Raw genomic sequence first — 18,184 nt, forward strand, 5'->3', positions numbered from 1 at the left:
TGTGCTTATTTATATTTTTTAAATATTTGGGGGATACACATATCTTCACTCAAGTCAGTCTCTTTTACATCTGTCCCTCCCCAAACACATTTGTGATTTTATTCATACTAGTAAATAATATGTAATTACATCCTATTAAATAAGCACCTACTACATGTTCAATTAGATACTACTGATACAATAATACTTTACAAATCATGAGGTATGTCCATCTGACACTGTGTGTGTGCATATATAGGTATATATTTTATTGAATACATTATACACACAATTACATATATATACACACAGTCAGCCTTCTATATCCTTGGGTTCCACATCCCTGGATTCAACCAACCATTAATTGAAAATATTTGAGGCTGGGCATGGTGGCTCATACCTATAATGCCAGCACTTTGGGAGGCTGAGGTGGGTGGATCACTTGAGGCCAGTAGTTCAAAAACAGCCTGGCCAACATGATGAAACCTCGTCTCTACTAAAAATACCAAAAATTAGCTGGGCGTGGTGACATATGCCTGTAATCCCAGCTACTCATGAGGCTAAGACAGGAAAATCACTTGAACCCCAGGGTGTGGAGGTTGCAGTGAACCGAGATCGCACTACTGCACTCCAGAGCGAGACTCTGTCTCAAAAAAAAAAAAAAAAAAAAAGGAAAGAAAGACAGAAAAACGAAAATATTTGAAAAAAATTGAATAGTTGCATCTCTACTCAACATGTGCAGACTTTTTTTCCTTGTCATTACTCCCTAACTAATACATTATAGCAACTACTTACATAGTTTTACATTATATTGAGAAATCTAGAGACGATTTAAAGTATATGGGAGGATGTGCATAGTTACATGCAAATATTACACTATTTTATATCAGGGACTTGAGTATTCATGGATTTCGGTCGGGGGTGGGGGTGGCTACTGGAAACAATCCTTCATGGATACTGAGGAATGAATGAATATGCATCCTTTATATTTATATTTTTCCAATGATATCAAAGGAAAGTGTAGAAAACATTATGTTTAATATTTAGGGTTTAAAATAATGTATCATTATTGCTTCACATAATCAGTGGATTGTGGCTTCGAAGATAGGAGACGTGGGTCCAAGCGTGAGCGCTGCACTTTTTCCAAGCTTACTCACTCTACGGCCCTTGCCGATTCCTCAAGCGTGCTGCATCTGTTTCCTAGTTCTAAGATGGGAATAAAAATAGCTTCCCTGTCTACCTCAGAAGGTGGTTATGAATATCAAATGATGTAGTGCGTGTGATAAGCACTTTACAATGTATAAAACTCTATATGCTGTAAGTCATTGTTATTAATGATAATTATAAACCTTGAGGAAGCCTGAGAAATTAGCTATCATTATAATTACAGCAGTAGTTGCAAGGTTTTTACCCTTTTCTGACTTTGAGAGGTCCACAGTTATATCTAGGGGAATTAGGATGAGGAGAAAATTTTTAAAAATCAATGCGTTTTATTTCTATACTAATAAACAGCAAACTACATTATTATTTTTGCAAACAGAAATGACAACATGGAAAGTACCGGAAAAGTTCATTCCAGTAGGTCCTGGTCAAGAAAAACCTATTTCAAGTTCTTAAAAATCATATTAGCTCCCCCTCCCCCCATCCTTTTTTTTTAACTTTACACTGTCTTCCTGTACTGCTATTTCCATGAGCTCTGCTATCAGCTGAAGATAAAGCGAATCCTTTGGCAGGAAAAGCTTGAGTTCTAATCTCAGCTCTGACACGGGGGATTAATAAACAAATATTTGTAATGTTTCCTGAAGAGGAAAATTCTGGTTTTTTATTAGTATTAGCAGCATATTCATATGTGTACTTGACTCTAGTGTAGTATCGCATATTTAACATTGATTGTTATATGAGCCTCATCACACAAATGAAATACAATGTTACTTATAAAAATGCTCACTCTTTTTCCCATTGTAAGTTAAACACATTGCTAAGAGGCCATTTTTCAAACCATCAGTGGCCCTGCAACTCTCTAAAAATTTTCAGCATTTCTCAGAAGGAACGCTCACATAAAACATCTCAGTATGAAAAAAAAGACTTTGACCATGTAAACATGTCCAATTGTCTGCTGACATTACCAAAAGAAACTGAATTGTACAATTTTCAAAAGTGCTCACTTAATAGTGCCAGTGGTTTGATCTTGCACATGTTACCCCTTGATACCTCCTCTGCCAAGCCAGTAGCGTACCTGATGCCAGTGTTCCTGATGCTCAACATAATAATCTGGCAGTGCTGACCATTTGCATGAGGTCACCATCTCTCCCATCCTAATGCAGTCTATGAAGCACTGGCCACCATAACCACTGTCTGGGCGGAGGACAGAGGGATTCAAAAGACAGACAGGCAACAGGAAACATACCCTTTACCTCTTTCCTTACTCCATCCAGAAGTCTCAGGCTCTGAAAAAATGTTCACAGCACAGGAGGGATTTGTTTTTAAGTACTAGTTTCCCAGACCTTTATTCAAAGATCTAAATATAAGTTGAAGAAACTGGAGGGAGAATAGTACTGCTAGTCACCAGTGTGTGCCAAAGTATGTACACGATTTCCAAATTTCTCCCTCAACTCTCCATCAGTAAACATGGGAGGGTCCCCAGAATCTCTTCCATCTGCTGGATTTCCCTTGGTGTGACTGCCAGAGATTGCCACACCACCTCATGAATTGCAGCACACATTCTGTGGTTACTAGTTACCCAGGAAGCTTCTGGCTCACCACTGTGTGGGGCAACTTGAAGAAGACAAAGAAGATACATAAAGCAGCAAGGTCACCACTGCTCTGCATCTGAAAGGATGCCCAAGAGCCAGGTGGTCCCTCACCCTCGCATCTGTTGGTTGGCATGAAGAGTCCAAATATGCCACCACAACCTAGGAAAAAACAACCTATGAGAAAAACCACCACACATTCCTCTCTCCTTAAGGAGGCTGCAGATGGGGTGGAGAGGAAGAAGGGAGAAGGTGCTCTTTCAACACTTTGAACATTCAAAGTTCAACACTTTGAACACAACATTTTGCATTCATACAAAATCAAATCAATCTACCATCCAACCCAAAACAGCCAAGATAGCTAAAACAAACAAACAAACAAACAAACAAACCCTGGAAATGAGTACTTGATTACAAAGAGAAATCTGAACCGCTGTTACAGTAGCAGATGCACAGGATGCAAGGCTGCATCTACTGAAGACAGTCTCCCGAGGAAGACTGGAAAAAGAGCAGTGTTAACTGACATCCAGGTAATGCTGAGAAAAGAACCCAGGAATGTCTATTTCGGCAAATCAGGAGCTTGCTGTGTGCACCAGAAGTGCTGATGGTATCACAGCGTCCTTCTTCACACACTGTACTACCTTGGGCTTCCAAAGGAAACAGCCAGTGATAGTACCCTCGTTGGCATGCAGTGTGACAGTTCACATCCAAACTCTAGGAGATCTTGTGAACTATTCGCCACGGGAGGGAGGAAGATGGCTATCTTCCTTTATATCGTACTTTTAAGAACTTTTAGTCATTTGTGATTCTTTCTCTACCACTGTGTGTGTGTGTGTACATGTGCCCACCCACTCTCCTCTCCCTTTCAGCCCCAATTCAAGCATTAACCTTTGATGTAACATTTTTGCTCCTCATCAGAATGGAAAGAATGAGCTTCAGAGAAGCAATTGAGTTGAGAGAATAAAAAAGATGACATCACTTCAAACGTGGACTTGCCAGAAAATTATCATTTCAAGTGCTCCCCTGTGTTATCAGCCAGGGACCCTCAGCTCTCCCTGACCGCTGCATGCTGCCCCTGTTTCAAATCTTTTGATCACCATTTGTTTCATGTCACCGTTCATCATGCCCCGCATGTGTGTATGTGTGTGTTGAATTGTGTACTTTTCAAAGTTCCTGTCAGTGCTAACTTTACAAACTCCCAAGTGAAAGACAGGAATTCATTAGCATCCGTTATTAGTTTGATAATTCTAAATAAAGTCAATACAAACATTTACATGGCATTTGCCCAGGAAGAGGATGAGGAATGAGAATTTGGGGACACATGCTCATGTTCTTTCTGATACATGCACCGCCAGGCACGCGCAGCAAGAAGGCCCTGGGGATGGGTCCTATACCACTGCTGTGTTCCTCTTTTCCTCTAAAGTACAAAGTAAAGAGTCTTCTAACATTTTCTTTTTCAGAATTCATTCATGTCAGATGTAGACCATTTTGAGAAGTGCTCAAATACCACGGGATCCCATTCCTCCACTCCTCACCCTCCTCTCATGAGCAAACACAGTGAGAAAAAATATACATACATTACAGCCAGGGTGATCTGGGTTCAAATTCCACTCAGCTTTGGTCTTTTTTTTTTTTTTTTTTTTTTTTTTTTTTTTTTTTTTTTTTTTTTTTTTGCTATGTAACTGACCACCCAAAACTCAGTGGTTATAAACAACTACCATTGTATTTGCTCAGGAGTCCATAATCTGGGCGGGGCTCAGTGGCACCGTTCCGTTCATCTTACTGGTGGTTGCTCATGTGGCTGCATTCAGCTGGCTAGTTGGCTGGGATCTGGGCTCAATTGAACCTCTCTCTCTCCTCCCCTAGAATCTCAGGGTCTCTCCCTCTTCCTGTGTCTCTCTACACAGTCTCAGCATACAGTCTCTCCAGCAGCATAAATAGACTTTCTTTTTTTTTTTTTTTTTACCAGGTGACAGGGCTTTCAAGATTACAGAAGTGAAATCTGCCAGGTCTACTTAATGCTTAGGTCTGGAACTGGAACGAGATCATTTCTGACACAGTCTAGTGGTTAAAGTGAATCCCAGGGCCAGCCTTGATTCAAGGAGTAGTGACTATACGAGTGTGAGTATAAAAGACATGGTTCACTGTGAGCAACCAATGTAGCCAATTACCACTGACACGCAACAAGTCACCTGATCTGTACACTTTGATGTTATGTTTCTCATCCATTAAAAGGGAAAATAATAATTCCTATTTTATAGAGATCTCACAGTTAAACGTGATAATGAATGTGATGTGGTTAGCACAGTGACTGACACCCAGTAAATACTCTGTAAGTGGTCTCTTTCATATATCCCAAAGTATTTGGAATTTGTAACACCCAGAAATTTGTGAGTCCCTTCCTACAACTGTCTACCTTTCCCACAAGAGCAGAGTCCACAGTTCACGTTAGCCATCATAGAAGTCACCCCAGTACCTAGTACAGAACCTGGCATTGTGTGTTTGTTGAACGATTATGTGATCAAATGAATTGGTACTCACTGTCTCCAACCACTCACTTCTACAACACATAGACAGATTGAGCTATTTCACAAGAATTTCTTATCCGCAAATTAAAAGTTATCAAATTCAATGTCATGAGCAATCATAGTAGTCTGGAGTTCATCTTCACCTCTTTTTAAATATAGTATATGTAGCAAATTCCCCAAAAATATTTTGCCAGATTTCCACTGCCTCAATTTTAAAACTCAGGCGCACTATAAGAAATATGTAATCCATATGTCTCTGATTCATTTTTACCCAGTTCATCAAAATGCTGTTTTTGTATTAAATGTCAAAACGCCTTTTATGTCTTTATTTATGAGCCCTTTAAAGTTGTTATTTTTAAATGATGCTAGAACATGTTTTGCGAAATTTAAAATCTACAAAGGCATTTGTAATTCAATTCCAAACATCAGCTTCTGGGACAGTTAATTTTGTTTACTCCTGGGAAAATTCCTCTTTTCAAATATGGACTTTTAAGGTTATTTTAAGTATTCCACATTCTCATATTCTTCATGTTAAATGTGCTAATGAATGGAATCAGCTGTATGTACACAGAGAGTTTGGAAAAGCAATATGTGCCCTGCTCTCTCTTTCAAAGGAACACCTTGCTGTCTCGGTCATCTGATTCTGCCTCAACTCTATAAACTGGTGTGGGGAAAATAAGCCTGCTATGTGTTACCTATTTTTAAGGCTGAAACAAATTGCAAATTTTTCTTCTCTATAATTCTAGATAGTGCAAGCTTCTCTACATAGATATATACATGCTCAGCTTATTCCTCACATGCAAACTTCATCAAATCCTCTTCCTGTCTCTAGAGACTTCTTCCTGTTCTCTACTATTATTTAACTTTTCACTATGAGATTTAAAAATAAAGACGATAATGACCTAATGGAACCTTTCCATAACTCAAATTTCAGTGATAAACTGATTGTGCTTTGAGTTAAAATTTTAAAATATTTATAATAAAGCAGAATGTTAGCTAAAAATAAAAAAATTTATAAAAGTCAAGGTTATATTGTTTAAAAATCCCTATATTTGAAATCAGAGAACCTGAAAACCAGAGTAACATTTCTGATCGTAGATATATATATAATAATATATATATTATAGATATGTGTATATATATATAATCAGATAAACTCTGAACTCATTTATTAATCTAAAAAATGAGGATAATGATGCTTATACTACCTGCATCACACACTTATGAATATCAAATGCATAATATAACTTTTATAAACTACAAAAAATATTAATGATAATACTTAATATCTGGTATTAGCTGTTACATATTTTTATGTCAGTTTCAAAGAATGTAAACCTGTATAAATTCACTTCCTTATCTAATGTTTCCATTTCAGAGTAAAAGTACTTATATCCAGCCACTAAGGAAACTATGGGAAATTAGCTTGCCATAACTTTGAAACTCACAAACGGGAGGCCTCACGTGCTCATTGGCTCTGGTTTCATGCTCTTTCTCCTAGAGCCAAGGGTTTGCTAATTCCAAGTCACCTGCTAAGCAAGGGATACTAGTCTTTCCCTTCATAGAGAAAATGTCATCCATGTGGCACGGATAATTTTATATTCAATTTGTCAAAATGTTAATCATTTTAGGAACAGCACTTCCGGGGTTGAGCTGAGAAACATCATATTTCAAAGGCTTTGGTGAGGAGACCAATCATACAGCTAGAACACTCAGGCTTGGGCTGAAAAGCAACTCTGAAATTTGAACACCAACCAGTATAAATCCGTTGCTAGGTTAACAATGTTTTCTAGTAAACAAAGTTGCTTCTTCAATAACGCATTAAAACAGAATATTTTCTATTTATTCTTCTCTTACAGAATTCAAGGAAAAAACAAACAGCCTATCACCATAGCTAGGCCCCCTCTCTAGAAATCAGACAAGAAAAACTTGCATTGCATATCCGAATTAGTCTTGCATGGAGGAGAAATATCATGTTTCCATACCACTACAGACCTGACCCGGGTGTTAATTTGAATTTTAAGCAGAACCATGCTTTTGCTTGGGTCCGTCCCACCTGTCAGTGTATGGTAGGAGAACAAGATAATTACTTCCTCTTATTTCAAAATGCCAGACACCCAAGTAAGAGTCAATGGAAAATGAACAGAGCACCTGCATTAAATTTTATTCTAATAAGTCTAAGACTGAGTATCACTGGCATCTTGTTATGTTATTCAGGGAAATGGTGGCAGATGCCAGGCGAAGCCTACAAAAGGGTAGCACTACGATACAAGAGAACATCAGAAATGCACTGGGGAAGAACTTGCCTGCAGCAAGATGAAGTTGTATAATATATCATTCATTCACATGGCAGTGTTTCCTTCACAGAAAATACAAGGTTGAAATGCAAAGTTATTTAGTGAAGGAAAAGAGCAATGCTGTGCTCGCACTACAAAAAGTGTTTGTTTAGTCTGTCAAAATTCTAAAGATTGTGGACGTAAAGCCTTCTTTAAAAAGTCATGTCCAGAAGCTGGTATGGACTCCAGTCAGGGAAAATAATGATTTAAATCATTCAAATAGAGTTGATCAAGATAATCAACATGAGTCAAAATTACAAAGAAGACCTAGAAAATAGAGAACTCTAGTTGTGTGTGAATGTATGGGAGTGTGTGTGTGTGTGTGTGTGTGTGTGTGTGTGTGTGCGCATATTTTTCTGTAGGGACAATTGTGTGCCTGCATTTGCTGGCCATGGCACAGCCTTTCACATTCATTATAAGAATTAGATGAGAATATTTAATGACGTCTTTTTATCTTTCAAGTTCACCATAAAAGAAACAAGCCAGAATAGATTGTTACTGATGTACAAAGAAAGAGACTTATATCATCTTGTGGTGGTTTGTAGGATTTGGAAAATACATTCCCGAGACAAATGAAATCTAAGGACAGTCCCCAAACACTTACTTCAACACAATGCTTTCACTTATTACACTGCTGCCTTTTCTAGCTACAGAATGTCAATATGATCCAGCAGATAACTGAACATCTGCCCCAGGATCTGTCCTGGAACATGAAGGAAGAAGTTGAGGGAAGGAGCTGCATGAAAAGGTCACTATTACAGGCATCTCATTCGCTACATATGTTTAACGCATCTTAGTGTCTAAAATTATTAGTGTTGTAGAGGCAGCATTATGCTGTGAGCAAGGCACACGACTCAGAGTTGGGCAGCAGAACTAAGTTTAAATCCCAGACCCAACACTACCTGCTTATGTGACCTCAAGCAGTTTTACCCAACTTAAAGATTTCCCTAAGTTCTGCTGTCTCATTTGGAAACTAAACTTAATGATGCAAATGGTATCCTGAATGGTCCAATTACTACATGACTTTGAATCCAGATATTCAAAGAGTATATCATCTAAAAAATAAAGTTGGCAAGATTTTTTTCCCATTTGATGGTAAGAAAGACATCACGTAGATACCAGACACATCTTTCATCAGGAGGTGGAGAGTAGTAGAAGCGTGGAGGAGTAAGACAGTGTGTTCTCTGCCTCTTAGTCGCATGGTGACTTTTTTCAAGTACTTAACTGAACTTACTCTGCGCTCCCTCTGTGTTCCATCGGTAAGACGAGGATAACATTACCTACTTCTCAAGGTTTGAAATGTAAGAGATATACTGCCAAGACTCTGTCTAAAACTTCCCAAGGGCTCCCCATCTCCCAAAGAGTAAAGGACACGTTCCTGACAATGGACTGCGAACTCCTACGAACTTGACCTCTTATTAACTCTGAAGCCCCCAACCCTCCTACGGCACTCTGGTGACAGCCTCTGCACTTCTTCACTTTGCACTCTTCCCCAGACACCTAGGTGGCTGCTCACTCACTTCCTTCAAGTCTCTGCTCCAGGATCACCTGCTCAGTGGGGCTTTTACACTCATCTTATTTTGAATTGCAACTCTACTCTCCTGCTTTCTCTCCATGGCACTTACCACCTTCTAATACAATGAATTTTTTAAAATATATTGCATTTATTGTCTTAACTCCTTCCACTGGAATAAAAACTTCAGGAGGGCAGCAATTTGTATTAATTTTATTCCCTGCTGCATCTCTAAGGCAGAACCTGGTACTTGGGATCACTCAAGAAATATTTATGAGATGAACACATTTATTGTGCATTATCAAATGGCATGCTATCTATAATGGACAGTGCCTGGCACATGGTAAAACCTTAATAATGACAGCTACTAGTTCTGGAGGGTGAAGGTTGTAATCTTTGAAACTGTGAGTGGGTGTGCACTGCTTTGGGCCAGTCAACAGTGGGATAACACCGCGGTTACCACCAGGAACTAACTGGAAGGCCATGATCTATTGCTGGTTCTCTCTATGTCTCACCATGGACCTTGGGCACACCAGTCTCTGCCTCTGTAAACAGATACAATAATATCTACCCTCCAGGGCAAAGAGAAGCTAAGGAAGGCTCTGACTGTCACTTGATTTGCCATCACAGATGAAGCGTACACAGCATTTTTTAAAACATTAGATAAAATTAAAAATAATAGGAAAAACTGTAGCTTCTCTCACCTGATAATTTTTCTGGCTACTAAAGGCAACTTTCAGCCAGCACTCCCAGGCCCTGCCTAAGAGGGTTTCAGACACAACCTTTTTAGTTCGAGTTGCAGTTAAGCAGTAATGAGGGAAAACCAAGACTGAGACTTTCCTGGGGAAATCTAAGGATCATATTTGTCCATGGGGGCAAGTCATTCTTTTCATCAGGGTAGAAAAATACAAAGAAGGATATAGTGCTGGTTGCCTGTTCATTAACTAGGTAGAATTACTGCAGCAAGAAGGTTAATAATTACACAAGTAATTAACACTTCCTTCATTTTCATACTCTAATCCTATAGTTGCAGGATTTCAACTTTGGTCCCCGAGTCCGAAGGAAGATGAGAGCAGAATGGCAATGAATTGGATTGGCTTTGGAAAAGGAGCTGGGAAACAAGAAGATAGCCCTGGGTTTCTAACCACTTTCTAATGAACCACAACTGCAACACATGAACAATACCAGCAAGCACTTTAGTGTTTCCTGTGGGTTTTCTGTTGTTGTTAACAATTGCAAGTTTTTGTGGCAGCAAGAGCCATACTGTTGTGCGCCATACGGGTATTTGACACCCCAGTCTTCCCTAAGCCTCCACTCCTACCCTTTCACGCCTGCACACTGTATATTTGTTGTCACTGTTTATTAAAGATAACTATGCCCTAAGTCTTTATTTACTTCTGTTTATTGCTATTTTAACAAGAGTCACCAGAGAGCAGCTATGCTTCTGGTCCACTCGGGTTCTTTAATCACTGTTAGTAGGTAAAATCATCTGTGACAACTAATCCAAAAAGCAGATTATATTTATTTTGGCTACAGTGGCTTGCAATTCGTTAAAATCAACAAAGCCTTTTCATTAGCCCCCTGCTTATGTCCTAAAAACAGACATTTCAAGGGTCTCAAAGCGCTGAGCTACACATATGCAGCCAAGCTAATTCTGACAGATTCTCAGTGCCATTCTTAACACTAAATCTTATTAAACTAACAAACAAGAAACAGAACCCCTCTGCTTTCATACAAAGGCTTAATTAACATGCCTAAACTCCAAAATCAAAATCATAGCTGCAAAGCTCCCTGAATATGGAAACAAAACAAACACAGAGACTGTGTCATTCGTTAAGCAAGATTTACCAAAAATCGGGACTTTTCTGCATTTTTTTTTTCAAAAAAATAATGTGGGAAAGGATTAGAAATGAGAACCATGGTGCCTGTTACTCCATAGTTCTGCATGGGCATTCTAGCCTTCAAAAGCTGGGATTGTGATTAACTGGACTGTTGGTGGAGTCGGCAGATCCGAGCAGAGGATCAAGATCTTATTCCAGAGGTTGCCAGAGATTAGAAACAGTGGCAGCAGGTTTTAAGGACAGCATCATTCCATCAACATTCCATGCATCCGCTTTCTCCAACCCTCACTCCTACAACCACACTGCTGCATTTTTCAGGCATATTTCTTTTACTTGCCTGACCACCTGGCTGTCCAGTGTCACAATGAAGGGCCTCTTTAACACTGAATTGGATTTTCGGGTTCAGTGTCAGAAATGGGAGCGTTCCAGGAAAGATGCTCACGGCAGTGACTCAGCCATTACTGCACCACCAGGCAGTGGCCATAATTAATGAATGTATCAAAAGGTCTACTCAAGGAGCAAAGAAGGTAGACAATGATTTATGTTTACCTACGAAGAAGATTATTTAGCTTTGCAAGAGCTTTCAAAATGAGGGAGCCCAGAATTATTTAGAGATGGTGTGATACCTTTCCAAACCTGAAGAGAAATTCGAGGAGTGAGCAAGTGGATCCAGAAATGAAGGGCAGGGGGAGCAGACAGAGGAAGAGGTTTTCTCTCCCACATTTCCCCCTCCACAGCTCTGATTGGAAAGCTGCTATGATTTGTATATTTCCATGACTGCTACTGCAATGGAATTACTTGTTTGTCCCTCCAGCATAATCCTGAACATTGTCAAGGATGATTACCAGATGATACTTCACGCAAGTCTCTATCCTAACATGCAGATTTCCACTGGTTGAAAGGGGAGGCCAAAAGCAGCCCTCGAGAGCAATGGCTCACTTGGTTCTTAAATGCACATGTGACAAGCACATCAGGCTGCCTCCGAGACCAAAGGGTCCAATTCGCCTCCACAAGGGCCAGTGTCCAGCAGCCCCTTCAGCCAGGGCTTTGGCTTCTTCTGGTTCATTCCATAAGCAAAAGAGCTGTCTGTTAGAGCAGATAATAAAATCCAGCCTAGAAGGAAAATCCACATGCAAAGCCTCTCTCAAATCAGAGTTTTGTCCACAGGGAAAAGTGAGCCACATCTGATATAAAAGTTATCATTTTGCCTCTCCATAATTAAAACTATTGTTGCCATGGCAATCCAAAGAGTGTTGCAAATACAGGAAAGGCTCATGTCATGGCTTTTTGTTGTTATTGATAGAGTTTGCAGCTCCAGCCACGGTGTATTTATGACAGGGTGGAAATGTGACTTGGGCAAACAGGAAGCCGTAGCGGGTGAGGTGAGAAACTCTAAAACTTCATTATGTACCCAAGATACTCTTTTCAATTGTTCCTCAGCCCCTAGCCTGACTTACTCCATAGATAATAAAAGTATATGGTCTTTCTGATGCATATTTACATCTAGTAGCTCTCCCCAGCATACCCCAAAGCTTCCTGGTTTTCTTCTGTATCATCTGCTACTATTTACCCAAGAAGATTTCCAGGTCCTTGAAACAGGTCCCTTTTCTGAGCCACCTTATCAAGCAATAGGAACCACAGGCAGTTCTCCCGCAGGGAGACAAAGGTTTGGGGACTTAAACAGGATGGCTCAACAGGCTGCATGACTGTTGTTATAAAAACATGTTGGCCAAGTGTGGTGGCTCATGCCTGTAATCTCAGCACTTTGGGAGGCCGAGGCGGGCAGATCATGAGGCCAGGAGTTCAAGACCAGCCTGGCCAACATGGTGAAACCCCGTCTCTACTAAAAACACAAAAATTAGCTGGGCATGATGGTGTGCACCTGCAGTCCCAGCTACTTGGGAGGCTGAGGAAGGAAAATTGCCTGAACCCGGGAGGCGGAGGTTGCAGTGAGCTGAGATCACGCCACCACACTCCAGCCTGGGGGACAGAGCGAGACTCCGTCTCAAAAACAACAACAACAATAACAATGACAAACATGTTGAGACAAGCGAGACAGCAGCGGTTCCCGGAAGGAGTATTTCAATTTTATATCTTCTAAGGTTATTCTCAAATACAAGAGAAGAACATGCCCCTGAGGTTTTTCTGTTTTTGGGGGGACAGGGATTGGGTTTTTGTTTTTTTGGGGTGGGGGCGGAATGCTCCTTCTTTTCCTGGTTTATTCAAAGTGGGTCTGCTCGGCTGGGTGTGGTGGCTCACTCCTGTAATTCCAGCACTTTGGGAGGCCGAGGAGGAAGGATCGCCTGAGGTCAGGAGTTTGAGACCAGCCTGTCCAACATGGCAAAACCCTGTCTCTCCTAAAAATACAAAAATTAGCAGGCGTGGTGGTGTACTCCTGTAATCCCAGCTACTTGGGAGGCTGAGGCAGGAGAATCACTTGAACCCGGGGGGTGGAGGTTGCAGTGAGCCAACATCGCACCATGGCACTCCAGCCTGGGCAACAGAGCTAGACTCTGTCTCCAGAAAAAACCAAAGTGGGTCTGCTCTTCACAGTTCATGATCACCTCAGGAGAAAACAATCTGAGCGAGCATGAGAAAAAGGCCACACAAACAACTCCACAGCCCTCAGACAGCCCTGAAATCTGGTACAGATCTGCAAGCAAAACGCTGGGATGGATGGACCAGTGTTTTCCAGACTTGCCAGACCCAAAGGAGCACCTCGGGCACTTATTAGAACACAGATGCCAGGCCCCTGCCCTCGAGCTGCTGCTTCCGCAGATCTGCACACACCTGGGAAACACCAGATCAGATGAATTTGGCCAGGTGCTCTAAGGGACACACCACACTCTCATAACTGAGTAAAAAATTAAATCCAGAGCCAAAGAAACTGAGGAGACAGAGGACTTGTTCCCTGGCCTGTTCTGTGGGAACAGGTACTTCAGCTCAACCACTTTCCATCCCAGGAAAACTGATAACACCTATGAAAAAAAAAAAAAAAAAATCACTCCTGTTTCGTTCCTGTGACTCTTACACATGAAATGTGAATCCATGGAGTCCAAAGACCAAATGGTTTGGCAATATTTATTTGGCAGAGGAGCGAAGGGGAAAAAGTTACATTTAATTTTAAAATTTTATTTTTCAATGAAAAATAATAGGAGAGAAACTAGCCATTTAAAACTCTGGAAAATCAACTAGCTACTTTTTTTGTGGTCTGAGAGGGACATTGCACTTGCAGCCATAGAGATACAAAAAAAAGTATAATGTTTCACTTAATGCTGAGGACAGTAGCTCAAGATGTTGAAAGAAGCATATAATATTTCCCCTGGGGGATCTGAAGGTAGCAGTGTAGGTGACAAAAAAGCCTGGAAGATTGAGGTAGAGAAGGAAGCTTTCATCCGGTCAAATGAGTAGCCAGAGCGCCGGGTGGAATGCTGAATGCTGAATGCTGAATGCTGAATGCAGCATGCTGTCACTAAGCGAGCTCTCCCTGCACGAAGAATAGCCCAACAGAGCTCCAATTACTATATTTCATGGACACTCTGTCTCACTGGAATACAGCTTGTTGGGGGATTAGTGTCTAGAGAGAAATTCTCAAATAAACTTTTATTAAAAGACTAGATGCTTAGAAATGGCAACTGCTTCTTTTTAATTCTGAAAGCAATCCGAACCATAACTCAAGAGTTCTGCCGTCTGATAACTGAGTAAAATCCAATGCTGTTCCTGAAATTTTATAGACACTCCTCTCTTTCTAAGTACATGAATAGTGTATATACACTCTTCAAAGGCTCGATTTTTCTCTTTTGTAGCAAAATGGCAAGAGCCTATGGGAATGCGGTGCCTGGGGCAATGTTCCTTTTTGCTTAGAAGGGACCTGCCTGCTAATCACCTGCAAGTAATAATAGACTACAAGGGAGGGAGCCTGAAGACGGCCCCTCACCACCCTGAAGGGCAAGGGTTAAGTAGAAACAAAGGGAGGGAGGCGTTCTTGGCCTGAGGGAGCTCTGCAAAGTGACCAGTGAGAATATCCCCAAGGATGGATCCAAGGGGCTGAGGAGCAGCAGTTAAAGATCAGAGGCAACTTGAAATGGGCCAACGTGCTGAGCTTCTGAACTAGAAAGAAAAAGGATAATACTTCCAAAAGGCTAACACAATCTTAGGGCCAGCCATATCTTGGAAAGTGACTTGCTCTGCCTTTAGGCTGAGAGGTTGAGCTTGATGGCTAAGGCACGCCATAGGCCCCTCTCTGCAGGCTGAGAAATTTCCTTCAGGAATATGGCATTCTTTTACTCCAAGGCAGGACTGGTGCCATACTGGATGCTGGCACCGCGGGACGGGGCTCCCAGATCATGAAGGAGAGCACTAGCTTTGCATGGGATATGACGAAATCTGGCTATTCTTACTGGTGTACTTTAACCCAAGAGAACTTAGAGCAGACAATTCAAAGGGCATTAAAGGCTTAGAAAACTGTAGCTAAGAAGTTGTTAAGGGAAAAGAGTTTAATCCAGTTCCAATCTTTAACTTCGAAAGAATTCAGGCACATGAGGGATTTTCATGGGGTGAGTTTTAGTAATTCTTTTCCAGTTACTGAAAAGACAAAGAGAAGAAAAGGGCTCAAAATAGTCTAGTTAAAAAGAAGAAAGTCTTGACCATGAGGGATTGGAACCTAATGGTGACCGTGGAATCTCTTCCTTCATATTGTTGTTAATTATAGAATAGATATGCATCAATCTTGTGCTGAGGGCTCTCCCTGCATGAAATTTGTAGAATGGCTTTGAATTGATTGACTCTTCCTTCACCATTGAATTTTTCCCCTGTAAAATATCTGTGGGCAAACTCCCTTTTAGCCTCCACTTTTTCTCACCTCTTTTCCCCAGTGTCTCCTCTCAGAGGATGTCTCAGTTTTTTCTGCCCCTTCTAGCCATCCCACTCCTCCATTTCAATAACAAGGGAAGGTTAAAAAGAGGAGCATCTCTCAACCCCACTTCTCAATATTTACTATCATTAAGAAACTCACAGCATCCATCTTCATTGCCTTCTTCACGTCAAGACTGCCATGACCCATTGGGAACATCTCCTCTTCTTCCTGTCACAGCCTCCATGTTCGTGGACATTTTTTATGAGTTTCCTAAGCACATTGATGATTCTTCCATCTATCCTTTCCTTCCCTGATTAAATCCTCCAGCTGCATGCCACTGACCATCACCCAGGTTACTAGATTACATGGAGGATTATGTATTTTAGGATTTAAAACAATGGTCTCCTATGGAAACAATCCAAATATTAATCAACAAACAAATGGAAAAACAAAATGTGGTCGCTACATACAGTGAATATTATTAAGCCTTGGAAAAGATTAGGATTCTGATACATGCTACAGCCAGGATGAACCTTGAAGACACTACTCTGAGTGAAATAAGCCAGATACAAAAGGACAAACATTGTATGATTTTACGTATTTGAGGCACCCAGAGTAGTCAAATTCATAGAGACAGAAAGAATGGGGGATGCTAGGGATAGGAGGAGAGCGGAAATGGGAATTATTGTTGAATAGGTACAGAGTTTCAATTTGAGATGATGAAAAATATCTAGAGATGGATGATGAACAAGAATGGGAATGCACTTAATGCCACTGAACTGTATGTACACTTAGAAATGGCTAAAGTAGTTAATTTTCTCACCACAGTTAAAAAAAAATACTGGAAAAAAAACCACACTGGTCTCCCAAGTTTGAATGTGAATGTTCAAGTCACACCTGATTGTTTCAGAAGACACTTGTCAGGCTCTGTTAACAATTGGTGGTAAAAGTTGGTCACTCAAATTTCTTCCTTCCTTGCTTCCTTCCTTCCTTCCTTCCTTCCCTCTTTCCCTTAAGAAATATTTATTGTGCAACTACTCTGTGACAAGTACAATACTAAAAGATGTGACTCAATAGAATTCACAACCCAGAAGAGAAAAGGGGCCATCAAAAAGGCAATACATCTCCCATCAAATTTTAAACATAGGAAATGAATGCTTGGAAACATATAATGAAGACTTCACCCAGTGCGTGTGTGGAGGGGAGCTGGGAGAGGGAGTGCTTGAAGAAATGTTTTTAAGCTGAGACCTGGAATTTGAATAAGAGTTGGGCAAAAAAACAAGGAGTATGTAGAAGAACATTCCAGACAGAGAGAATGGCATTTGAAATGAAAAAGAATGCAAGGCTTAGTGCATCACAGGTGGTTTGGCTTTGCAGGAGTTTAGGAAAGCAGAGAAGTACGTGATGAGGCCTGAAAGGTGGGCAGAGTGCAGACCACAGGGGGCCTAGGAGATGGCATTAAGACTTTTAGACTTTTTGTCCTAAATGCCAAATGAGAATATTGGACCAGACCCCCCAGGTCTCTTCCTCCTTTATGATGCTATTCAACTATAAAATGCTACATCTGTGATCCCTTTCCAAGCACAACTGCCATGCCAGTCCTGCCATCAACCTCCCCATGTTCTCATAGAAACCGTACCTGATTTCCAGCCCTCAGGAAACCCCCTAACACCCATACTGTATCACTCTTACCTTATCTAAGTTATTAGTCACCACCTGATTTCATTGGACATCCTTCCTCTCTGAGTCCAGGAGAGACCCCTCACCACTGTCCTCACCTCATGGACATTCTGCCAAGTTTAATATGTCATCTTCCTTTCTGACTCACATCCCCTTTGAAGAACCTTTCTCTGACTCACTTCTCCCTTTTCTCACACATCCTTATTTTTCTCTTGCATCTTTAATCTCCCTTCTAACCTCCTTCCTTCTGCTTCAGATATTCTGGGTCTCTTCTATATCCATATTGCTTTTTGGTTCTCAAGTGCAAAGGAAGATGTGAACATGGCTCATTACCAATTCATTCTATTTAACTTCAACTTTGCCCTCCCCCATGAATACCAGGTGATCCATTTATTCATCCCCTGAGCATTCCCCAGCTCACTTCCTTCTGAGGTTTATTTAGAATTACTCTCTCCTCAAGCTTCAACCCCCCATTTTCAGACTGACTTTACATTCTATTTATTCTGTGGGCGTCCTCTCTGCCCTTGCCTCTGCTGCCCATGGGTCTGTTTCTAGAGATAAGTTTAGTCTTCTAGTCTTTGTCAGGGTGGATGAGACTTCACTGTGTTAAAGACCTGGAAACTGCAAAGACGTATAAGACATAGTTCTTGTCCTTCCAGAAATTTCAATCTAGTTAAGAACCTGTAGAAATACAGTACTATA

The 18,184-nt window shown here is 40.8% G+C and overlaps 1 protein-coding gene across 41 annotated transcripts in view, besides 1 other annotated feature; it reads right to left on the reverse strand.

The window, feature by feature from the left end:
- ESRRG (estrogen related receptor gamma) overlaps nucleotides 1–18,184 on the reverse strand; it is a 634,457-nt gene that overhangs the window by 409,237 nt on the left and 207,036 nt on the right. The window lies entirely within an intron of this gene.
- Nucleotides 504–693: a silencer, noted in NCBI's record as "fragment chr1:217086328-217086517 (GRCh37/hg19 assembly coordinates)". NCBI's record gives its function as "represses an EF-1alpha promoter that drives an FKBP-Casp9 reporter gene in an ReSE screen in K562 erythroleukemia cells {active_cell/tissue: K562}" and the evidence as "EXISTENCE:reporter gene assay evidence [ECO:0000049][PMID:32094911]".

The sequence above is a fragment of the Homo sapiens genome, chromosome 1 (genome assembly GCF_000001405.40).
Source record: "Homo sapiens chromosome 1, GRCh38.p14 Primary Assembly".
NCBI classification, from domain to species: domain Eukaryota; kingdom Metazoa; phylum Chordata; class Mammalia; order Primates; family Hominidae; genus Homo; species Homo sapiens.